Source organism: Homo sapiens, chromosome 10, assembly GCF_000001405.40.
Source record: "Homo sapiens chromosome 10, GRCh38.p14 Primary Assembly".
In the NCBI taxonomy this organism is placed as follows: domain Eukaryota; kingdom Metazoa; phylum Chordata; class Mammalia; order Primates; family Hominidae; genus Homo; species Homo sapiens.
The window spans coordinates 5,028,025-5,053,697 of NC_000010.11; the positions used below are offsets into that span (position 1 = coordinate 5,028,025).

The 25,673-nt window shown below is 42.2% G+C and overlaps 1 protein-coding gene and 1 long non-coding RNA gene across 2 annotated transcripts in view; both read left to right on the forward strand.

Moving 5' to 3' along the window:
• Positions 1-5,042: 5,042 nt before the first annotated feature.
• Positions 5,043-25,673, forward strand: part of LOC107984198 (uncharacterized) — a 47,905-nt gene continuing 27,274 nt past the window's right edge. The window contains exons 1-3 of the long non-coding RNA XR_001747341.2: positions 5,043-5,344; positions 5,478-5,702; positions 7,404-7,592. This is a non-coding gene — a long non-coding RNA (uncharacterized LOC107984198). The remainder of the gene's footprint in view (positions 5,345-5,477; positions 5,703-7,403; positions 7,593-25,673) is intronic.
• Positions 20,757-25,673, forward strand: part of AKR1C3 (aldo-keto reductase family 1 member C3) — a 58,906-nt gene continuing 53,989 nt past the window's right edge. Inside the window, exon 1 of the mRNA NM_001253908.2 lies at positions 20,757-20,871. Within this exon, the coding sequence (NP_001240837.1) occupies positions 20,788-20,871 (84 nt within the window). The 5' untranslated portion in view covers positions 20,757-20,787. The remainder of the gene's footprint in view (positions 20,872-25,673) is intronic.

The following is a 25,673-nucleotide window of genomic DNA, read 5'->3' on the forward strand; positions in this document are numbered from 1 at the left end:
TCCAATTGTGTCCTGTTGGGAAAAAACAACAACAACAACAACAACAACGAATTCTTATCACACTTATGCAAATAAATATATTGCCGTATGTTAGGAACACTCAAAAATAGTCTCCAAATTCTGAATAAATCAGGTAGAGAGAAACAAATATGCTCTAAATTTCTTTACAGGAGTGTACATTACTCTATTGTTAAAAGCTGTAAATAAGCTTGAGAGAAAAGTTTTCTTGATTCTGAAAAAGAAAACACAGGATCAGCAACATTCTAAGCAAAAAGTAAAAAGCATATTTTTTGGTCCTTTATTAGTTCAATTTATGCAATTAATTCCTGTTTTGCTCAATATTTATTATCACATTAGTTTTCCAAGAGGGTCTTGGAAGTTTTTTCCTCTCCATGTTAACATCAAAATCTTAAAAGCTATCACAAACCTGCATTCAAGAGCACAGAATCCTAGAGCTGATGATAAAACCACATTTAATAAGGATCAAAACAAGAAAACAATTGTTTGTGGCTGACAAAAGGTCTTAGGGCAGCCACAGTCAAAGACACAATTGGCAAGGAAATTTACTTACCTCTCTGGCACACAATAATCTTACATAACAATTATAATTATAACTGGTAATATAAACTAAGTCATAACAGAATTATAGGAATTTCACATAATTTTTGAACACATACCAATAGGACATTTATACAAATATGTCCAAAGAAAGCAAAAAGTTTCCTTTGCATTAGTATACTTTTAATGTTAAACCCAATCCTTAATAACATCTTACAGACAAATCTACTTCATCTTACTCATTTTGAGCGTAAGGTAAGATTCTCTAGCCTCTAGCTCCATCCATGTTCCTGACAAGGTTATGATATCATTCTTTCTCACAGCTACATAGTATTCCGTGGTGTATATGTACGATATTTTCTTTATCCAGTCTGCCATTGATGGGCATTTAGATTGATTCCATGTCTTTGCTATTGTGAATGGTGCTGCAACGAACACAGGTGTGCATGTGTCCTTGTGATAGAATGATTTATATTCTTTTGGGTACCTACCCAGTAATGGACTTGCCAGGTTAAATGGTAGTTTTGCAAAACTTTTTCTAAAAATAAAATTTAGGGGACAAATTTAAGGGATCAATTTTTTGTCACCAATTATTCTCTTTTTGAGTTCTGTTTCTGAAGTTCATCAACGTTGCTGCAGAAAGACATGATTTCATTCTTTTTTGGCTGAATTATATTCCAGTTTTCCATACACCACATTTTCTTTATCCAATCATCCATTGATGGACACTTAGTTTGATTCGATTGATTTGATTGTTTACTCAAAAGTTATTGAGGGGCATGTTGTTTCATCTCCATGTACTTGTGTAATTTTTTCAGTTCCTCTTGGTATTTATTTTATTCCACTATGGTCTGAGAAGATAATTGATATCATTTTGATTTTTTAAAATTTATTGGCCGGGCATGGTGGCTCACACCTGCAATCCCAGCACTTTGGGAGGCCAAGGCAGGTGGATCACAAAGTCAGGAGATCGAGACCATCCTGGCTAACACGGTGAAACCCCATCTCTACTAAAAATACAAAAAATTAGCCGGGTATGATGGTGGGTGCCTGTGGTCCCGGCTACTCGGGAGGTTGAGGCAGGAGAATGGCGTGAATCCAGGAGGCGGAACTTGCAGTGAGTCAAGATCACGCCACTGCACTCCAGCCTGGGTGACAGAGCAAGACTCTGTCTCAAACAAAAAAAACCTTTTTTTTGAGACTTGCTTTGTGGTGAAGTATACAGTTAAATTTGGAGAATACTCCATGTGCAGATAACGAGAATGTATACTCTGTGGTTGCTGGATAGAATGTTCTGCAAATATTAGGTCCATTTGGTCTGTGGTCTAGTTTATGTCCAGAGATTCTTAGCTGATTTTCTGCCTTGATGTTCTGTCAGGTAATATCAGTGGGTGTTGAAGTGCTGTACTATGATTGTACTGCTATAAATCTGTTTTCTTTGGTCTAGTAGTATTTGTTTTATGTATCTGGGTGCTCCAGTGTTAGGTACGTACAACTTTAAATAATTAGGTCTTTTTTTGTGTTGAACCTTTTATCATTATAAAATGCATTTTATTTGTCCGTTTTTACTGTTGTTCTTTTATGGTCTGTTTTATCTAATACAGGAATGGCTACTCCTGCTCGTTTTGTTTTTTGGTATTTTTTTTCTATTTGTGTGATATATCCATTTCCACCCCTCTTCTTTGAGTCTGTAGGTGCCTTTAGACAGTTGGCGAGTTTCTCCTAGGCTGCGTATGGTTGAGTCTTGCTTTTTTAACCAGTTTAGCACTCTGCATCTTTCAGTGGAGCATTTTGGCCATTTACATTTAAGGTTAACATTGTTATGTGAGGTTCTGTTTCTGTCATAGTGTTGTCTCCTAGTTGTCTTTGAGTTTCAATTGTGTAATTACTTTGTAGGATCTGTGAGATTTGTACTAATGTGCCCTTTTATGATGATGTATATTGTCCCCTAATTTCCATGTTTAGAATTTCTTTCAGCATTTCTTCTAGGACTGGTCTAGTGGTAATAAATTCCCTTAGTAATTGTTTATCTGGAAAAGACTATTCCTGAATCATTTTGGAAGTTTAGCTTAGCAGCATATAAAATACTTGGCTGCCTTTTGTTCTTTAAGGAGGGTGAATATAGGCCTATAGTATATTCTGGCCTGTAGGGTTTCTGCTGAGAATTCAACTGTAGTCTGATGGGATTTCCTTTATAGGTGATTAGGTGTTTCTCTCTTGCAACTCTTAGAATTTTTTTCTTTATGTTGACTTCAAATAGTCTGATGACTATATACTGTGTTGAAGTTCACCTCGAAATGTATTTTCCATGAATTCTCTAATCTTCTTGCATCTGACTGTCTAAATGTTTCCCAATACCAGGGAAGGTTTTCTGAAGTATATCCTCTAAAAAGTTTGCCATACTTTTTACTTCTTTTTCTTCTCACTCCGGAATGCTTACATTTCTCAGGGGTGGTCACTTTACAAAATTCTCTATTTCTCAAATACTTTGTTGATTTTTAAAAATTAATTTTTCTATATTTATGTCTGACTGAGTTAATTTGAAAGACCTGTCTTCCAGCTCTAAAACTCTTTCTTCCTCTTGGTCTAGCCTATTGTTAAAGCTTTCAACTGTATTTCACATATTCTTCAATGATTTTTTTATTTCCAGAAGTTCTGATTTTTTTAAATGATGTCAATATATTCTTTCATATTCTGTATTTTTTTTTCTGATTTCTGTGTGTTAGTTTTAAGCTTTCTGTTTGGTCTCATTGAGCTTCTATAACTCAATATTTTGAATTCTTTGGTATTCCAAAATTTCATTTAAATTAGGATCTATTGTTGAAGAGTTAATATGATCCTTTGAGGGTGTTAAACAGTCTGTTTTTTCATACTTTCAGAGTTATTTCCTGTTTTGTTTCCTCAACTGGATAAACTATTTTACCCTGTTATGTTTTGAATTTGCTTTTGTTTGGATGACAAGCTTATCAGGGAGCTTATCTTATTCCCTAGTGCAGTGGGCTTACATCAGCAGATGTCTTTCTGTGTTGAGTGATTCAAGTTCCAGGCCAGTAGATGGTTCTATGGGTAAGAACTGGCTATGGCTGATACAGAGGTGTATATCTGATCCTTGTTAACTGAGAGAAGCTATCTGTGTAATAAGACCTTGATCTGACCTGTGGAAGGCACAGCCATCTAATCTTCCTGCTTAGCCAAGGAGCAGGCCCGCCTACAGGTTACACAATGGCAGACACAAGCACCAGCAGGAGGGAAAAGTTTCAGTGGGCAGATATCAAGTTCCTCCCCCTGGGCTCGTGGTCTCACTGGCTTCAGGAGTGAAGCTGCAGACCTTCGCGGTGAGTGTTACAGCTCATAAAGGCAGTGTGGACCCAAAGAGTGAGCAGTAACAAGATTTATTGCAAAGAGCAAAAGAACAAAGCTTCCACAGTGTGGAAGGGGACCCGAGTGGGTTTCCACTGCTGGCTCCAGCAGCCTGCTTTTATTCTCTTATCTGGCCCCATCCACATCCTGCTGATTGGTAGAGCCCAGTGGTCTGTTTTGACAGGGCGTTGATTGGTGCATTTACAATCCCTGAGCTAGACACAAAGGTTCTCCACGTCCCCACCAGATTAGCTAGATACAGAGTGTGGACACAAAGGTGTGTGTTTACAAACTTTGAGCTAGATACAGAGTGCCGATTGGTGTATTTACAATCCCTGAGCTAGACATAAAGGTTCTCCAAGTCCCCACCAGAGTAGCTAGATACAGAGTGTCCAATGGTGCATTCACAAACCCTGAGCTAGACACAGGGTGCTGACTGGTGTATTTACAATCCCTGAGCTAGACATAAAGGTTCTCCAAGTCCCCACCAGACTCAGGAGCCCAGCTGGCTTCACCCAGTGGATCCCGCACCGGGGCTGCAGGTGGAGCTGCCTGCCAGTCCCGCGCCCTGCACCTGCACTCCTCAGCCCTTGGGTGGTCGATGGGACTGGGTGCCGTGGAGCAGGGGGTGGTGCTCCTCAAGGGGGCTCGGGTGGCGCAGGAGCCCATGGAGGGGGTGGGAGGCTCAGGCATGGCGGGCTGCAGGTCCCTAGCCCTGCCCCGTTGGAGGCAGCTAAGGCCCGGTGAGAAATCAAGCGCAGCGCGGGTGGGCTGGCACTGCTGGGGGACCCAGTATACCCTCCGCAGCCGCTGGCCCGGGTGCTAAGCCCCTCATTGCCCGGGGCCGGCAGGGCTGGCCGGCTGCTCAGAGTGCGGGCCCACCAAGCCCCTGCCCACCGGGAACTCCAGCTGGCCCGCAAGCACGGTGCGCAGCCCCAGTTCCCGCTCGCGCCTCTCCCTCCATACCTCCCTGCAAGCTGAGGGAGCCGGCTCCGGCCTTGGCCAGCCCAGAAAGGGGCTCCCACAGTGCAGTGGTGGGCTGAAGGGCTCCTCAAGTACCGCTAAAGTGGGAGCCCAGGCAGAGTAGGCCCCCAGAGCAAGTGAGGGCTGTGAGGGCTTGCCAGCATGCTGTCACCTCTCACTGTGACCCAGTCCTAGCCAATGCCACATAAGAAGGACCAATGCTAGGGGCTTCTAGGAATGATTCCTCACTTCTAGAAAGAAATTTTTAAAATGAGGTGGCCTTTCTTCTGCAAGTAGCTATTGTCCTGCTGCAGTGTGAGTTCTAAATTTGCTTCAGCAGCCTCCACCCAGCCCAAAGATAATATCAATACACAGAAGAAGAAGAGTCAGGAGACGATGAGAGAAGTTCTGGACTCCAAGGAACAACACTCAGAGCTTGCCTTCCCTCAGACTTCTTGTTATGGTGGTAACAGATTTCTATTAAATTTATATTAATTATAAATTGTTTTCTTGACCTGGTTTTATGCTAACCAAAACAACCATAAAAGTTAATAATTTTCTCTTTAAAACATCCCCTGCATTTTGTCCCAATCCAGGATTAGTCAGAATAGATGAAAACTGATGAGTCATCCTGAGAGCATGAACCCCAGTGGATTGTAGGGGTTGACTACAGTATTGAGAAATATTAAAATAACAAAAAGTACAGAAGAGGCAGGGATCTCAAAAAGTGCTCAGTGGAACCACCACTTATTGTGAGTCAACATTCAGGACACAGTTGTTTCTTCAGACAGAGTTCACTCTATGAAAACACTATGAGCAAGGTGGGTTTTACTTAAAATTTCATCGTAATTTTTACATTGTAAATTTACATTGTATATTTTATCCAGTGTCATAATTAAAATTTCCTACATATTCCCTTAGGCATCTCTGGCTTTTTCCCAAAATTTCCTCCCGGGGTATCAACAGTGCCCCCTCCTCCTCCACAGCATACCTGTTCTTCCTATTCCCTCCTGCACAGCTTCTGCTGCTCGACTGTTTCCACAACAATGCAAACTGACTGTTAGCCTCCATGGCTCCTCTGCTCAACAGCCATGCCCTCACCCACAAACCTCTGTGAAGTTCAAGTATACCCCTTATTGTTCACATATAAACCCCTCAACCCAGAGAATTGAGTCAACAAAACAGGAAACCTCCTCAGGACAAACACTGCTGCCAATATAAATTTGTATTTATTTATTTTAAAATTTATTTTATTTTCAATGTGAGTGTCGGCTCCCATCTCCCTGTCCTCATGTTCCTTTCGTAAGACTGAGAATTTCTGTGGTCTCCTGAGGTCAGAGTTTTTCACCAGATTGTATACCAGCTGAGGAAAATTTGAATTCTTATCAACTCCACAAACCTATGCTAGTCAGACAGAAGCCCCCATGTGCTAACTGTCTTGTCCTTTGAGCCTTGGGAAGTGACAGGAGACACACCTGGTCACTGGAGGAAATCATGAGTAGAGAGAGAAACAAATGAGGAGAGTTTTGAGCCTGAGCCCTTTGTGATACATGAGTGGTTAAGGCTTGGCACTTTTCACCTAGAATTCGGAGGATGTATCAGAAATCCTGAATTTCCAGACAGATACCTGCTGAAAGGCTGGAGCCCCCACAGAGAGCTTCTATTTAGGCAATGTTGAGTAGAAATATGTGGTTGGAGCTCTGCAGAATGTCTCCATGGGTGCACTGCATAGTGAAGTGGTGGGAGCAAGGCTTCACCCCTCAACATTACAGAATTATAAATGTACTAGCAGCTTGCAACTTCAGCCAGGAAAAGCCACAGGCCTTAAACTCCAAACTGTGAGAGCAGCCACCTCAAGAATTTTAAATATTCTGTCACCACATATGTTGATTATATGTTCATATTGACAAAATCTGCTGTTGAAGCCTTCTAGTGAGTTTTTCAATTCAGTTATATTTTTCAGCTCCAAAAATTTAAAAAAAAAAATTTCTGTATCAGTGATCATATTGTCATTTTTCTATATTTTTTGGATTTCTGACAGTTTTTCTCCACATTTTTCATTAGCAATTTTAGTATACTTATTGTAGTTGTGTAAGTCTTCTACTAATTTCAATGTCTGTAGCTCTTCAGGAATGATTTCAGCCAATTGATTTTCTTTCTTATAATATACTATATTTTTCTATGTCTTTGTATGCCTTGTTATTTTATTTAATTGGGTATTTGTTGGGAGAAAAGCTGAGTGTTGGGAGAGAAGCTGAGGCAGGGCTTGCATTTCTGCTAGACTTGCTGGCTCCTTGCTTCTAGCACTCACGTTATTTCAAGCAGCCATATGTTTCTCATTCACTTGATACGCTGTTTCCTTTCAACCCCCACATCCTCACCACCTGTTTGTTTGTTTGAGCACCAATAAGTAGTGTGGGCTCCCAGAGCTCGGGTCCTTTGCAGCCTCCACCCTGGCGATGGCTCCCTGGTCCTACTTTCTCTCTCAAACTGGCTTTTTCTCATTCCTTTGACTCCGCCAGACTTCCTCGCCCCCATGACCTGGTGTTGTGTCTGATCACCCCAACATTCCTGGCTGCCCAATGTGGGGCAATGAAGACCCCAGTGAAGGAATGCTAGAGTGTGTGAAAGTGGAGGACGCATCGTCAAAGGACACCTGAGGACGTCTCAAAGAAGCTCGGCGGGAGAGCTGAGCGCTCGGAAGAACCAAGGTAACAATGAGACAAAGTGAAAGCAGACATTCTGCTTATTTAAATTTCTTAAGGCATTTATTACAAAGAGGGGGAGTGAAAGTTAGTACTCAGAATTTTTTATCACTCTTTAGTACAGTAATGCAGTTTTGCCCATGGTTTCCTGAACAAGGGACTATGGAGTTAGATGAATGGGAGAGAACTGGAAGAGATTTTAAGAAGGCATATAAAGAGGGAGCAGAAATTCCAGTTTCCACTTGGTCAATGTGGGCGCTAATAAAGGCAGCTTTTGAGCCATTTCAAACAGATAATGAGGCAGATTCAGATGATGAGGAGAATGAGTGTAAAAAAACTGACTTAAGATTCTGAGTGTGAGGAACAGCTACTAGAGGAGATTAAAGAAAAGAAAGGAAAACTAAAAAAAGTATGTTTTACTAGCCCGTCGGCTCCACCTGCTGAATTAAGTGAATGGCCACCTCCTCTCTCTCCCCTTAATGGGGAAGAAAATAAATTAGCTGAAAAACTTACTGCTCCTGTAGTTGCAACATTAAAAGCTGGAGCAATTGGTCATGCTATACAAAATTCTATTCAAAAAGCTAGAGCTGAGGGAGAACTTGAAGCATGACAACTTCCCGTTACTATAATCCAGCAGGGAGGACAGACTATAGCTAATTGGGCCACTTTTCCTTCTAAGTTACTAAAGGAATTTAAGCAAGCCCTTAGTCAATACGGACCAAACTCTCCTTTTGTGCAAACTTTATTTAAAAAATGTGGCTCTTGATAATAGATTAATACCATATGATTAGGATACTTTGACAAAATCTGTTCTCACTGTCTCAGTATTTACAGTTTAAAACCTGGTGGGCTAATGGAGTTCAAACTCAGGCAAGGGAAAACACACAAGCACAGCCACCTGTGCCTGTTTCCTTTGAACAGTTAATGGGAGTTGGCCCTAATTGGGGTCGATTAGAGAATCAAGCAGTAATGGAGGATGCTACCATTGTTCACCTGCACTTTGTGTGCTTACAGGCATAGGAAAGCATAAATGTTACAGGGGAAAAATATCCTCCTTTCAGTTCTGTCTGAAAGAACCATATATTGATTTTATTGCTCAGCTCCAAGAGGCTGTGTATAAGGTCATAACTGATAAAACGGCTCAGGATGTTGTAATACAGCTTCTTGTATATGATAATGCTAATGCAGAGTGTCAACTGCTGTTATAGACCCCTAAGAGGGAAGCCTTATTTAGCTGAATATATTAAGGCTTATAATGGCATTGGAGGTAACTTACATAAGGCTACTCTTTTAGCTCAGGCTATGGCTGGATTAAGAGTAGGAAAGAATATGCCCCATTTCTCAGGCTCTTGTTTTAATTGTGGGCAATTTGGACACACAAAGGAATGTAGAAAAGGAAATCAAAAGGCAAAAACTACTACCATCAATCAACAGAAAAGTCCCAGTATACGTCCCTGGTGTAAGGCAATCACTGGGCAAGTCAGTGTCATTCTAAATTTAGCAAAGATGGACAATCTCTTTCAGGAAAGAGGAAAAGGGGCCCCTCCTTGAGCCCCTTAACAAACTGAGGCATACCCAGCACAGCCAGTGCCCTTACAAATGTACAACAATTATCCCCCGCCTCGCAGGCAATGCTGCCGCAGACCTCTACAGCACAATTCCCATCTCCTTACTTCCTGGGGAGCCACCAAAGAAGGTCCCTATGGGAGTTAGGGGACCCTTACCCTCAGGAACAGTCTATTACTTGGAAGATCTAGTCTAAATTTAAAAGCCATCACTGTGCATGTGGGAATAATTGTCTCTGATTATACCAGAGAAATTCAATTAGTTATTAGTTCCTCCGTGGTCTGCCTCCCCAGGAGAAAGAATTGCTAAGTTGTTGCTGTTACCTTACATAAAACTAGGAAGCAGCACAGTGAAAAGAACGGGAGGCTTTCATAATACTAATCCAGCAGGAAAGGCTGTGTATTGGGTTAATCAAGTGTCTGAAAAAAGACCTATTTGTACAGTAACTATTCAGGGAAAATATTTTGAAGGACTAGTAGATATTGGAGCTGATGTCTCTATTATTGCTATAAATCAATGGCCCAGGCACTGGCCTAAGCAAAATGCATCCATTGGTATTGTTGGAGTAGGAGCTGCCTCAGAAGTTTTTCAAAGTTCCTTGATTTTATCATGTCAAGGGCTGGATGGTCAGGAAGGGACAATTCAGCCTATCATTACACCTATTCCTGTCAATTTATGGGGTGGAGACTTACTGCAACAATGGAATGCTGAAATATCTATTCCTACAGATCAATATAGTAATAATAGTAGACAAATGAAAAATACAGGATATTGTCTGGGAAAAGGACTAGGAAAAGATAAAAAAGGCCAATCAGAGCCTTTATAATTACAAGGGCAAACAGATCGGATCAGATTGGGGTGTCATTTTTAGGAGTGGCCATTGTTGAACCTCCAACTCCCATTCCTCTTGTTTGGCTAACAGCCAAACCGGTTTGGGTGGAGCAATGGCCACTGAAACAGGAAAACCTGGAGGCTTCAAAAGAGCTGGTGCAGGAACAATTGCAAAAGGGACATACAGAGCCTACTTTCTCCCCCTTGGAATTCTCCTGTATTTGTCATTAAGAAAAAAATCAGGGAAATGGAGAATGTTAACAGATTGGAGGGCTGTTAATGCTGTGATTCAACCCATGACTATACTTCTCACAATGTCCCTTCAGCACCTGACCCTCTACCCGCTGGTTATTCCTTGGTTATATTAGTAATACAACAAAGAGTAACATTAAAAGCTAATGATTAATAATGTTTATACTAATGATTGATAATATCCATGATCATCTCTATATCTAATTTGTATTATAACTATTGTTACTCTAACTATTTTCTTATACTGAAACAGTTTGTGCCTTCAGTCTCTTGCCTCGGCACCTGGGTAATCCTTCGCCCACATCTCCCCCCTTTTTATTGATTAGGATTGTCATTGCCATCATTGCTTGTCGCTGGCTTCGAGTTTTTCATTGGACTCCGTGGAGACGCCTGCAGACTAAAAGCAAACAACATAAACACACCAATATTAGTAATGCTGATAACAAAAGTGAACCTCCAACGGGTTTGATCCACTTGAAAGGATTTAGATCAGATAGTCCTTTTGTAATTCTTTCAAATATATCAGAACCAGGAATGGTAGTTAAGTGAGCCTGGGAAGCCTCAAAAATGTGCTCCTTCAGTGTTGAAATGTCTAGGGTTAAATTATCATCCCAGGCTTTTAGATGCCTTTGGACTTTTTCCCAACTATGTTGATCTTCCTTGTAACCATAAGGTGTTATGCAATAATCAGAAGTATTCCAATCCCATTGTAGTTGCATTCAGTGTTCTAAATTCATCATCCTGTCTCCCAACCAGATGACACTCTGGTGGAGATCATTAATTTGATTGGCCAGTTTTTGATCAGTCTGAGCCTGAGAATTCCAAAGTCAGGTGGAATTTTTTTGGCATGTTTCCACATAATGAGTGGTGTGGACCAAGTTATGAATGGCTACTCCAGCAGTAGCCGCTGTTGTAGTAACAGCAATTAAACCTGCAATCACCGCAATGAGAGTAAAAATGAATCTCCTAGTTCTTTTAAGAATCCCTTTAAGGACTTTATTGACTACATGAACAGAAGAGACGATTCCCAGAGGCGGTGTAAAGAAACTGATATCCATACCCCTTTCCTGGCCGTGACCAGGAGAACACTTGTTTTTGGATCAAATGTAGCATCAATGCACGTAAACAATTTGCAATTATTGCATTCAATAGTTTGACTATCAGGGGTGATAATTATGTTTCCAATCAATAACATATGGTGGTTTAACACAGCTCCTAATGGGTACCACCCTCTCAGACATTAAAGAGATCTTATACATGTTTGTTTTGGTATTTGTAAGAATTTTTTGATAAGCAACATTCCATAATCTGATTCCGGATATGGCTGCAGACAACCTCCACAATTCAGGATGTTCCGGGGTAACTATAGGATGAATCATTTTTGGTCTAGGAGGAACGATGACCTTGTCCAACCATTTGAATGGGTAAGGAGACACCCATTCCCTCTTTTTGTAGGACTGCCAGCCTTTCTCTTCATAATCTATTAAATAGTTAAACTCAGGACATTGGGTATTTTGGCCAGAGCAATCTCGCCAATAATATCCTTTTGGGGCCCAGTCAATGACAACACTTGTGATCGGACTCCTTAGCACCACTACTTTTGGGGCATTGCAATCACTCCATAGAATGTTTTGAATTATTAGGTCCCTTTATAAGGTCTTTTAAACAGTCTGGCAATCCTTGTGTTTTATTATGCTTTACTGTGACAGGAATTCTCTGTTCTTCAAATGAATTTATGTTAACGGTCAGAACCTGAAAAGAATTACTACAGAAGACATTATGCACCTGATAAGAATCATTGCTGGAGGCCGGTACAGTCCACATCCAATTTTGATTAGAGAATGCCAAACAACCAGGTGCAAATCCTACACACAATGGTGGAAATTTATATCCAATGGACACATTAAAAGGCATTCCTTCTTCATCTGTTTAAGCCGGAAATCTGTCATCATTAGGGACTGGCATGAATGCACTGTCATTAGTATAAACTTCCACTGAGGAATCCATCCATGAAACAGATCGAATAAGAATGGAAACGGGACATATGCCAGTAGGTGTAATTTTGAGTTGCTGCAGCCCCGGGTATACTTACCACTGCAGTAACTACCATAAAGGCAGCCAAGATAACATTACCCATAGTTTTTGGAATCCCTTTGTCCTGTAGGTGTCTCTCAACCTCTTCGGACATTACTTTTATCTGACCCCCCCACATCAGCAGGGTGGAATTTTAGCATTGGGAGTTATAGGGCGAGGCTGTGAGGCAAACTTGAGATATAAATTGTATTAGTCAGGTGACGAGCCTTGCGTTTTGATTTCTGGCGGCTCTTCTCCTTTTGTTTCTGATGGTTCTTCAGGGCTGGAGTCATGGTACAAATTCAGCTGATGGGAGAGAACCCAAACAGGTTGTTGGTCCTTTCCTGGGGAGACACAAGCAAAACCCCTACTCCATGTTATTACAGTGCGTAATTCCCATTTATTAGTTTTTGTGTCCTTCCACCATACTTGCTTGCCTTTTTGTGGGTCAAATTTATTACCAGCAAAGTGTTGTTCTGCTGCCATGAAAGGTTGGTTCTTGGCCAAATTTAAAAATTTTAATGTGAACAGAGCTAAATTTATCTGAGCATGGGGAGTACTGACATCCCCTTTCTTTTTGTTACCTTGTTTGCGAAGCTGGTCCTTGAGAGGTTTATTAGCTCATTCCACCAGAGGCTGTCCTTGAGAATTATAGGGAATTCCAGTAGTGTGAGTAATGCCCCATGCTTGAGTGAACTTTTTAAAGGCAATGCTGGTATAGCTGGGACCGTTATCAGTTTTAAGCTTAGCAGGGCAGCCCATAACTGAGAAACAAGAAGGCATATGTCATTTAACACGAGCAGTACTTTCTCCTGTTTGGCATGTAACCCAGATGAAATGGGAAAAGGTGTCAAGTGTTACATGTATGAAAGAAAGTCTCCCAAAAGCTGGAAAGTGGGTCACGTCCATTTGCCAGAGTGTGTTGGGGGAAAAGCCTCTAGGATTAACTCTGGAAGGAAGTGGTTGTAGGATTAACTCCGGAAGGAATTGGTTGTAGGATTAACTCCGGAAGGAAGTGGTGTAGGATTAACTCTGGAAGGAAGTGGTTGTAGGATTAACTGCCGAAGGAAGTGGTTGTAAAATTAACTCTTGGCCAGAGGGACAGTGCCGTACTATGGTTTTTGCCTGTTTCCATGTGGGAGGGAACTTGCTTCTGAGTCCTGCAGCATTGACATGAGTTAGGGCACGACAATTTCGCATGTCCATAAAAATGGATGTGGCTAAAGCATCAGCTCTGGCATTTACAGCTGAAAGAGGTCCTGGAAGTGATGTATGGGCTCAAATATGAGTAATGTAAAAGGGGGCACAGTGTGCTCTGAGAACTGTCTAAGACTTTTGAAAAAGTGAAAGTAAACTTTCCTCAGGCAAAAATTTAACACCGTTTCTATGTTGTGGGCAACATGCACGAGGTATGCAGAATCAGAAACAATGTTGACAGACTCAGGAAAATCCTCAAGGACAGTCATAACAGTGCTAAGTTCAGCTCGCTGTACAGAAATAGGTCCTGTGTTAAGAACGCGTTCCCATGGTCCTGTGTATACAGCACGGCCATTAGAGGAAGCATCAGTAAATATAGTAACGGCTCCAGTTAATGGAATACTTCTGGTAATATTAGGTAAAATCCAGGAAGTGAGTTTCAGGAACTGGAACAATTTTACATTAGGGTAATGATTGTCAATTATACCAGGGAAATGGGCCAAATTTACCTGCCAAATAACACAATTTGTAAATGCTTGTCAGAGTTGTTGACGGTTTAAGGGAAGAATAATTTTTTGAGATTCCTGTCCCAAAAGTCATAAAAGATGGGAACAGGCTTGCCTAATGAGGGTAGAAATTTAGTCAAGGTAAATAGTAAGTGTCCTTAGAGAGCTATGGGGAAGAAAACACCATTCAATTATATCATGTTCCTGAGTGATGATCCCTGTTGGAGAGTGTTCAGTGGGAAAAATTAAAATAGTAAAAGGTAATTTGGGATTGAATCTAGTGACCTGAGACCATTGAACTGTTTGTTCAATCAATCATAACTCAGACTCAGCCTCTCTGAGTCTGAGGTTTCTGTAAGAAACCTTTTCCTGTGTAAATCTGGATCCCCACATAATGTGGCAAAAAGGTTTGACATAGCATATGTAGGGATGCCCAAAGAAGGGCAAATCCAATTAATATCCCCAAGTAACTTTTGAAAGTCATTTAAAGTTTTTAAGGCGTCTCTCCTAAGCTGAACTTTTTGTGGTGTAATCAGCTTGTCTTCCAACTGCATGCCCAAATATTGAAAATGAGAGGTAGTTTGAATTTTTTCTGGTGCAATAGTCAAACCTGCTTCTGAAATGGCCTGTTGAATCACAGAAAAGCAGGAAATCAAAATGGTGTATGGGGGGGCTGTGCAGAGGAGATCATCCATGTAGTAAACGATGTAACATCGGGGAAACTGATCCCTGACAGGTTGAAGCACACGCCCCACAAAATACTGACAAATAGTGGGACTATTAAGCATGCCTTGTGGTAGGACTTTCCAATAGTAGCATGTAGCCTGAGCGACATTGTTGAGGGAAGGGACCATAAAAGCAAACTTTTCAAAGTCCTGAGAGGCCAGTGGAATGTTAAAAAAGCAATCTTTAAGATCTATGAGGATTAGAGGCCAATACTCAGCGAGCATAGAGCGGGAGGGTAAGCCAGATTGTAATGTCCCCAGAGGTTGAAGTACAGCATTAACTGCCCTAAGATGAGTGAGCATTCTCTGTTTTCCAGATTTCTTTTGGATAACAAAGACAAGTGAATTCCATGGAGAGAAAGATTCCTCAATGTGTCCCAATTCTAACTGTTCCAGGACTAAATTATGGAGCGCCTCCAGCTTATTTTTTGGGAGCGGCCACTGATCCACCCAAACTGGCTGAGTTTTCAAGTCAAAGGGATGGCATCTGGAGGCTTGACAGTGACTGCTTCTAAAAAGAATAACCAAGCCCTTTGGAGTCAAATTTATAGAAAGGTTGAATAGGCGCAGTAATACCTTGAGCCAATTTTCCCAGACCAGTGTCTTGAACATATCTCATTTTTGTCATAATGTTTTTACTTTGCTCACTGTTGGCAGCATGTGGAAATGAAATTTGTGCACCCCATTGCTGTAAAAGATCTCTTCCCCAGAGATTAACTGGAATAGGTGTAGAGGGTGAACAGTACCAGTCTGTCCCTCTGGGCCAGTACAATGTAAAATAGTGGAACTTTCATAAACCTCAGTGGCCTGACCAACTCCCACCAACCCGGTGAATGTGACTTCTTTGGGCCAGTGACGAGGCCATTGGTGTAAAGCAATAATGGAAACATCAGCACCCAGGTCAATCATGCCCATGAATTTCTTTCTGTGTATATGCGTGGAACAAACAGGTCAGGTGTCAGAAATTTTATTAGCCCAGTAAGCCACTTTACCCTGATTATCTGCACTCCTAAAACCTCCAGTTCTTTTATGAGAACTGGATCTGAGTGGAATGTACAGCAGAAGAAGAAGTTGAGCAATTCAATCTCCTGCTGAAGCTTGGCAAGGAACTGCAGAACTAACAGTAATGTGTATTTCCCCAGAGTAATCAGAGTCAATTACACCATTATGTACCTGAACACCTTTTAAATTTAAGCTTGAGTGACTGAGCAATAAACCAACAGAGCCAGGTGGCAAGGGCCCAAAAGCACCTGTGGGAACAGCTATTGGTGGCTCTCCAGGCAAAAGGGAAATGTCTCTAATACAGCAGAGATCTACTGCTGCAGATCCTGTGGTGGCGGGGGACAAGCATTGAAATGAGATCCTTGTTGGGGTTGTGACATCTATGCTTGTGGCATGAATGGTTGAAGTGGAAACTGAGTGGTTGGATCGATTGGTTGAGCTGGGGATGCCCTCATCTGGCTGCAAGGCCAAGGCTGGGAGTTGGGGAATGCTTCATTGTCTGGAGGGGCCTGGGGCTGGCCCCTCTTACCATTTCCCTGGTTTTGAAGTGGCTGTAAAGGGTTGCCATTAGTGTCGAATTTCGAGTGGCAGTGAGCTGTCCAGTGATTGCCCTTATGGCATCTTGGGCATGGTGTGGATGGTGGGACTCGCAGTTGTACGGCCTTTGGGGATTGGTGTTGTACAGGGTGGTGGTCTGAACACCGAGGACATTTTTTCCTGGTATGTCCAGATTGGCTGCAGTGAAAATAATTACCAGGAAATTGTCCAAGCATTCTAATGCTGGCCATAGCCTGAGCCGTGACCATAGCAGTATGTAACGTTCCACCAACACCCTCACATGCTTTAATATAGGATGTGATTAAATCACTTCCTGGTGGGATTTTACCTTTTACAGAGTGAATAGCAGCCTGATAATCTGGATTTGCTTGTTCATAAGCCATGAGTTCCACAACCAAATGTTGGTTATTTAGATCAGGAATAGATTTTTCTGCCACGTCCTGAAGATGGGCAATGAAGTCAGGGGTATGGTTCATTTTGCATTTGTCTAATGGCTGTAAAGGAGGGACATCTAGTGCCATCATCCTGAATCTTATCCCAAGCACCCAGGCAGCATTTTCGGAGTTGCTCAGTGACTTCATCATTCAATATAGTTTGCTTTCTAATTGCAGCCCACTGCCCCATTCCCAGTAACTGGTCAGTTGTAACGTTAACAGGAGGATTAGAGCCCTGATTAAGGCGGACTCAATCCTGGACAGCATCAACCCACCATGTCCTAAATTGTAAATATTGTGATTTAGATAAGACAGATTTTGCTAGAATTTCCCAGTCACAAGGCACCAAGCATTTATCTTCTGCTAAGGATTTTCGGGCGGAACGGACGAAAGGGGAATTGGTACCATATTGTTTAACCGACTCTTTGAAATCTTTAAGGAATTTGAAAGAAAAACTTTCCCAAGTAGCAGGTCATAGGTGGACCTGACCAGGGTGTAAAGGATCAGGTTGCACCACAGCCCGAATGGAATGTATGCCAGGAACTGGCTCTGCTGGGACATCAGGCCCTTGTTGCACTGGCTGAGGAGCCTGATCCCTGAGCTGCGGGTCTGGAGAGGCAGTGGCGTCAGCTGCCTGCTGAACTTGGTCAGCAGGTGGTGGCTGATCCATTGCAGCCAGAGCAGGGGCAGCTAGAATGGGGGCAGCAGGTATAGGAGATTGTAGAATAACAGGAAACGGCCATGCCTCGGGATCCCCGTATTCCCTTGCCTGAGAAATGGCCCTCATAAGAGGGGTGTCATTATCAGGAATGTATGTAACCTATTGCTTATGGGTAGCAACAGCAGTTGTGACTGGACCAGAAGCAGAAAAGAAATTGGGGTTTTGAATATAGAAGTTGAGAGACTTCAAGCCAGGCTGATGCACAGTTGCCTGCTTTGCAGGTCTTTCAGGGGCCTGAACTCCAGGCTGTTGCATTGACTGCAGGGCCTGAGCTCCAGGCTGGTGCACGGACTGCAGGGCCTGAACTCCAGGCTGGTGCATGGACTGCAGGTTAGGCTTCTGTGGAGCCTGATGCATAAGAGGAAAGGCAGAATTGGGTGAAGAGATAGCATTGAGGGCCTCATTACTGGGCCGAACAGGGATAGAGTTGACAGCCTCATAACCGGGCTGAACAGATGGATGGTTGAGAGCCCTACAGCAGGGCTGAGACAGTACAGGAGGTTCCGGCCACAAGGGCTGCTGATAGTACATTTCAGAGGGATTTTTTAGATCTGGGGGAAGGAGATCCTTCATAAGGTCCTCATAAAGTGATACTGGGGGTGCGGTAGGCATGGTAGGCTGTGGTGTATTTGGTGATGCCAAAGGAATATCAGAATGGAGGTCCATTTCTAAAATGATGGCTTCAGGTTGTGCAGTGCCCTCTGGAGAGAGAGTACTGAGGATTTCCTCAACCTCTTCGGAGGAGAGCAAAGGTAGAGTACCCTCCATTCCCTCCTCCTATGGCTGCAAGGATTCTAAGATGGAGCGAACCGAGGACCAAACTGTGCAAATGGCCGGCGGGATAACATGTTCCCCTCTATGAGCGATTTTAAACTGTTGGCCCACCTCATCCCAATCTTTAAGTTCTAGAGTTCCCTCAGTTGGAAACCAAGGGCAAATGAGAATGACGACCTCAAAGAGTTCAATTAGCTTGTCAGAAGAAACTGAAATTCCTCCTTCTTTAAGAAGGGTTTTTATGAAGTGTTTAAATAGGCCAAGTACTTTGTACTGGCTTGTCCCATGGAGTCCCTGAGATACTCTGAGTGCCCAAGCTTACCACCAAGCTTAATGACGACAATCCTCAGGAATCTGTCGTTGAAAGTCCTCTGCTGAGTCCTGCACTCAAAGTGCAACTTCACACAGTGAGGGAGAAACCCACGTTGGAGCACCAGATGTAAGGTCCAGCCCTACGGGGCTTTGCCGGTGTTCTCCCCATGTGCAGAGATGAGAGATTGTAAGAAATAAAGACACAAGACAAAAGAGATAAAGAGAAAACAGCTGGGCCCAGGGTACCACTACCACCAAGTTGCGGAGACCAGTAGTGGCCCCGAATGGCTGGGCGTGCTGATATTTATTGCATACAAGACAAAGGGACAGGGTAAGGAGGGTGAGTCCTCCAAGTGATTGATAAGGTCAGGCAAGTCATGTGATCATGGGAAAGGGGGCCTTTCCCTTTTAGGTAGCTGAAGCAGAGAGGGAAGGCAGCATACATCAGTGTTTTCTTCTATGCACTTATAAGAAAGATCAAAGACTTTAAGACTTTCACTATTTCTTCTACCATTATCTTCTACGAACTTCAAAGAGGAACCAGGAGTACAGGAGGAACATGAAAGTGGACAAGAAGCATGGCCATTGAAGCACAGCACCACAGGGAGGGGTTTATGCCTCTGGATGACTGTGGGCAGGGCTGGATACACAAGAAGCTGGTGGAGCAGAGTGTTCCCTGACTCCTCCAAGGAATGGAGACTCCCTTTCATGGTCTGCTAAGTAACGGGTGCCTTCCCAGGCACTGGTGTTACAGCTTGACCAAGGAGCCCTCAAGCTGTCCTTATGCAGGCGTGACAGAAGGCTCACCTCTTGCCTTCTAGGTCACTTCTCACAATGTCCCTTCAGCACCTGACCGTATGCCTACCGGTTATTCCTTGGTTATATTAGTAATAAAACAAAGAGTAATATTAAAAGCTAATGATTAACAATGTTTGTAGTAATGATTGGTAATGTCCATGATCATCTCTATATCTAATTTTTATTATAACTATTCTTATTCTAGCTATTTTCTATATTATACTGAAACAGTTTGTGCCTTCAATCTCTTGCCTTGGCACCTGGGTAATCCTTCGCCCACATATAGTCACCCTGAATCTCTACTAAGACACTGGGTAAATAAATACATATACTTTAGTCAATTTTAGACAGTTTCTTGAGGATTCCATGTGTCCACTGTTAGCTTTTTAATCCACTATCTTACTGAAATCATTCTCTGTGAAAATTTTCATGACTTTATAATATTACATTATGTCAATATATAATAATTTACCTATTTCTCTTTTTTTGTTGTTTCATCAAAAAGCAAATGGAAGCAATCAGGGCGTTGCAAAACAACTCAAAGATATTGGTCATGCATGATGCAAACAACAATCATGTTTTAATCTGCCCTGTAAAGGCAGAAACAAGTAATTTCTCATTTTTCTTTAGGAATAATGTTTAGCAAGAGCATAAATTATATAAAATAGTTATCAGTTTTTTGGTTTGTTGCTTTACAATAGCCTCTATTAAAACTGGCTGGAAGAAAAAAAGGCACTGTTTGCATATTGCAAATGACGTCCAAAGTCCAAAGGCTGTTAATCAATACTCCAATAATCAGATTTTCTTTTTCATTTGCACCCTATTCAGGATTATATCTTTATCAGTACTGTACCTTCATCAGCAATGAATATTTTTCTTACAATGCAAAAAAGAAAGAAACAATAAATTTGCTGAGGAAAAAAGCAAAAATACCATTTTTGGGGGGTTTTAACTTTAATTTTTTATTGAGGGTAATCTTTTTAAAGAACTCTTAGTCATTTTTTAAGATTGTGTGTGTGAGAGAAAGAAAGATGAAAGTTGGTTAGTCATTTCAAATGATTCACAATAAAGAAATGATATCATCATGGCACAAACAAAAAACATTTGTAGCTGGAAGTTGTTATAGTTGCACATACAGTCATAATTTGTTCTGAAATATCTTTGAGTAATTGAATAATTTTTGTAATATATAGAGATTCTGAAAAGCAAAACTGCTTCAGAGATAAAATAATGAGTTTATTTGTAAAATGCTTTACTTAAGAATTTTATTAGAGAAGAAACAATTGAACTGGATTCAGTTTTCTTCACAACCAGCATAAGATGGCATGCATACTTTCTTTTACATGCTATTGGTTAACCATTAGGCAGTGTGCAGAGGGCATTGCCTCCATTGATTTTATAACCTGTGAGGGAAGAAGAAAGAAACATTTGCTAGCCAGCTGAGTGACAGTGATGGATTCAAAACATCAGTGTTTGAAGCTAAATGATGGTCACTTCATGCCTGTCCTGGGATTTGGCACCTATGCACCTCCAGAGGTAATAATAATGTTTTTGGTGCAGAGAGTTGAAAAGAGCAAAGCCAGAATAAGTGGAAGCTGACCTGGGTTGTCAGGTTTGTGTTCGTGTATTACTCTGCATGACTCCAACCTGAGTTTCCCTAGGTTAAAGCTATACTGTATGTACAAAGAGAAAAAGTCAACCTTTGTTGTGCATAGAAGTCTGGTTGCATGGTCATCTACTGTTTATTTGGGGCACTGTTTTTTTTCTTCTATTTATGTTTATTTCATAGCTTGTCAGAATCCATGAAACTCAGCAGTGAAAAACACTGCCTGCCTGCTCCTCTCTTGGAAATTGATGGCAATAGAAGTGGTTTCTCTGTTTCCTTCTACACTGAAGAAATCTTTTCTTCTTCTAAGAAGACATAATACAGAAGAATTTTTGTGGCAAAATTTAGTGGAGATGGGGTGCATGAAATATGTTGGGAGAGTATCACTGTTCTGATATGCGGCCTTGAGCACCACATGGTAATACTGGACCTGGACTAAAGAGAATTTCCCATGTACTACTCTCACCTCTGAGAAAATTACCAGAGGATATAAAATATCCTCATTTTAAGAGAAAAGAAAAAACGACTAGAACCTAACAAGTTACGTTTAAATTATTGGCCCTTGTTCATATGCATCAGATTTGTAACAAAATGATAGGAGTGGTCCTCTGACACAAATGTGAGCAAAATGGAGACTTTATTTTATAGACTAAACTATTTCTACACTGGAAGAAAACTTGTATTCCAAGACTGTCCTGAGACTACTATGTTTGTGATTAGGGACTAGATACATGAAATTTGAGTCTCACTTTTCTCTCTATCAGTGTGTTCTGTGCAACATCACTGGGAGAGGACTCATAGGAGCTTGCACTGTATTCCTTCTGTAATTCCTTCCATGTACCTTTGTCCCTGTGTTAATTTCACTTTATTAAAAATATTTAGGACTATATATGTAACTATAGGTTGAGGTCAGTGTGGGTTAACCTGTGCCTCTGCTCTCCTGACTCCATGGAACTTTCCAGAGCAGTCGACATCATTGCCAAATCTGCACCTTCCATGTAGGCCTGGTGTTTTTACTACTGTCTAGTGGACACACTGTGGATACTGCCCATGTGGCCGCATTAGATGTTTCCAAAATTTGTGCTTATATCATGTTCTCCCAAACCTGCTCAGCTCCTTATCAGATCAAAAACATTTCCATCAACCTTGTGGTCCAGGTGCCAATTCTCACCTTCTCCATATGGAATTGCTCACTAAATCCTGTCAATTCGGTGTCTTTACTCATTTCAAATCTCTTTCTTTTTTCTCTTTGGATGTTTGCACATGACCCAAACACTGTATTTGCCTCCAGAAAGGCTGCCTTAGTGGAGTGAATAGGAGCACTTGGATTTAATTTTCTGCAATATGGAGATCTCAATTCTGAGAATAATGAAATTTTAAAATCAAAGAAGGAGTGTGGATGCAAAAGCCCCTTTGTTGGAATAATCTATAGCCAACAAAAGGCATTTACTATTTCTTCATGCTTTGAAGGTTTTAGTAGTCATAGACAGTAACTCATGTAATGAGGGAAAACAGAAGTTATGTAACTGCTGGCAGTGGAGATTTTAACAAGTAATAGAGATGATGAGATAATGTGTGAAAAACATAACAACAATGGCACATTGTAAGAACTCAAAAACTGGTAGATACCATTGTTGATATTTTATTAATATAGAGGAAAATAAAACATAAAAAGGAAATTATTAAATGAAAGGAAGAATAGCAAGCATTTGTAATTCTTACCACCAATGAAATATTTAAGGATAAGTAGGCATTTGTTTTTCCCTTTATTTTTTGTGCTATTTCTACATATACATTTTTAATGCATTGCATATTCCTGGATATTGGACCCTGTATCATACACAACAGTTTACATTTCTGAAAATTACCAAATATGTTTCATAAGGTAGGCAGGCACTAGGTAATAAATAAAGTAATAAAAGACAGCCTAATTGCTACCAGTAGCCATTCACACTCAAAATTATTTATTAGTGATGAGCGTATAACTTGCCTCTTCTTCTTCAAAGTAGGGCAGAAAGAGTTCCTACTTTCCTTGGGAATTTGAAATAGAAAAGGTCAGAATGACTCTTTGCTCTGTAGGCAGATGTACAGGAATGTTTTTGAAGATTTGACTGTGTGTGTGTTTTGTTTTGTTGTTTGTTTGTTTTGAGGCAGAGTTTCACTCTTGTTGCCCAGGCTGGAGTACAGTGGCGTGGTCTCGGCTAACTGCAACCTCCGCCTTCTGTGTTCAAATGATTCTCGTGTCTCAGCCTCCCAAGTAGTTGGAATTACAGGTGCCTGCCACCATACTCGCCTAATTTTTGTATTTTTTAGTAGAGACGGGGTTCCACCATGTTGGTCAGACTGGTCTCAAACTCCTGACCTCAGGTGATCCACTCACCTTGGCCTCCCAAAGTGCTGGGATTACAGGCATGAGCCACTATGCCCAGCTGACTTTGTGTTTTATGTATTAAGTTCCAGGCAGGGGAGTAGAATTGAATAATTTATTATTTTGATAATACAGATACTATAAAGTCATGCTCTCAAAAAATGCAGATTCTCCAGCAATCAGAATATGAACTTCTTAACATCCACACTAATGGCAGCTTCCTAGAAATCACTGTGCTACCCCCCAGTAATGGAATCATTGCAGTTCATATCACGCATTATTCTTTCTTTCTTCAGTCTTGCTGGACACCCTGATTATCCATTTTCAGACAAATATTAACATGGAGGACTTTGCGTGAGTTCTACCAGAGGCCCTGTGTGTAGATGGTGACACAGAGGACGTCTTTATGCTAGTGATTAGACATACCGCCTTTGGCTAAATCTACCCTGCTTAGAGACTTCAGTTAACCAAATATAAGTCCACAGGCCATAAGGGAAAGACAATAAATTTGTTTTCTTTGAAATAATTCAGTGCTCTCTTCTAAAGATTCTTTACCTACTTTGGTCTCCATTATTGTATGTTTTCTTTCTTTCTGACTCATTAGCTCAAAAAGGATGATTTGCTTATAAGTTAGGATCGGGGGTGGTGTGTCTGGAATTGGTGGGTTCTTGGTCTCACTGACTTCAAGAATGAAGCCGTGGACCCTCGCAGTGTTACAGTTCTTAAAGGCAGCGTGTCCAGAGTTTTTTCCTTCTGATGTTCGGACGTATTCGGAGTTTATTCCTTCTGGTGGGTGCATGGTCGCGTTGGCTCAGGAGTGAAGCTGCAGACCTACATGGTGAGTGTTACAGCTCTTAAGGTGGCACGTCTGGAGTTGTTCATTCCTCCTGGTGGGTTCCTGGTCTTGCTGGCTTCAGGAGTGAAGCTGCAGACCTTCATGGTGTTACAGCTCATAAAGGCAGTGTGGACCCAAAGAGTGAGCAGTAGCAAGATTTATTGCAAAGAGTGAAATAACAAAGCTTCCACAGTGTGGAAGGGGACCTGAGCAGGTTGCCACTGCTGGCTTGGCCAGCCTGCTTTTATTCTCTTATCTGGCCCCACCCACATCCTGCTGATTGTTCCATTGTACAGAGAGCTGATTGGTCTGTTTTACAGAGAGCTGATTGGTCCATTTTGACAGGGTGCTGATTGGTGTGTTTACAATCCCTGAGCTAGACACAAAGGTTCTCCAAGTCCCCACCAGAGTAGCTAGAGTGTCGATTGGTACATTCACAAAACCTGAGCTAGACACACGGTGCTAATTGGTGTGTTTATAAACCTCGAGCTAGATACAGAGTGCCGATTGGTATATTTACAATCCCTTAGCTAGAAACAAAGGTTCTCCACGTCCGCACTAGATTAGCTAGATACAGAGTGTGGACACAAAGGTTCTCCAAGTCCCCACCAGAGTAGCTAGATACAGAGTGTCGATTGGTGCATTCACAAACCCTGAGCTAGATGCAGGGTGCTGATTGGTGTGTTTACAAACCTTGAGCTAGATACAGAGTGCCGATTGGTGTATTTACAATCCCTTAGCTAGACATAAAGGTTCTCCAAGTCCCCACCAGAGTAGCTAGATACAGAGTGCCGATTGGTGCATTCACAAACCCTGAGCTAGACACAGGGTGCTGATTGGTGTATTTCCAATCCCTTAGCTAGACATAAAGGTTCTCCAAGTCCCCACCAGACTCAGGAGCCCAGCTGGCTTCACCCAGTGGATCCCATGCTGGGACCGCAGGTGGAGCTGCCTGCCAGTCCCGTGCCATGCGCCCGCACTCCTCAGCACTTGGGTGGTTGATGGGACTGGGTGCCGTGGAGCAGGGGGCAGCGCTCGTCAGGGAGGCTCCAGCCACACAGGAGCCCACGGACGGTGGAGAGGCTCAGGCATGGTGGGCTGCAGGTCCCGAGCCCTGCCCCATGGGGAGGCAGCTAAGGTCCGGTGAGAAATTGAGCACAGCAGCTGCTGGCCCAGGTGCTAAGCCCCTCACTGCCCTGGGCTTGCAGGCTGGCCAGCCGCTCTGAGTGCAGGGCCTGCTGAGCACATGCCCACCCGGAACTCGTGCTGGCCCACAAGGCCATGCGCAGCCCCAGTTCCCACCCATGCCTCTCCCTCCACACCTCCCTGCAAGCTGAGGGAGATGGCTCTGGCCTTGGCCAGCCCAGAAAGGGGCTCCCACAGTGCAGCAGTAGGCTGGAGGGCTGCTCAAGCATGGCCAGAGTAGGCACCAAGGCCAAGGAGGCAACAAGAATGGCAAGGACTGTGAGGCCTGCCAGCACATTGTCACCTCTCAATCCCCCCTCTAAACAGGACACCCTAACTGCTGT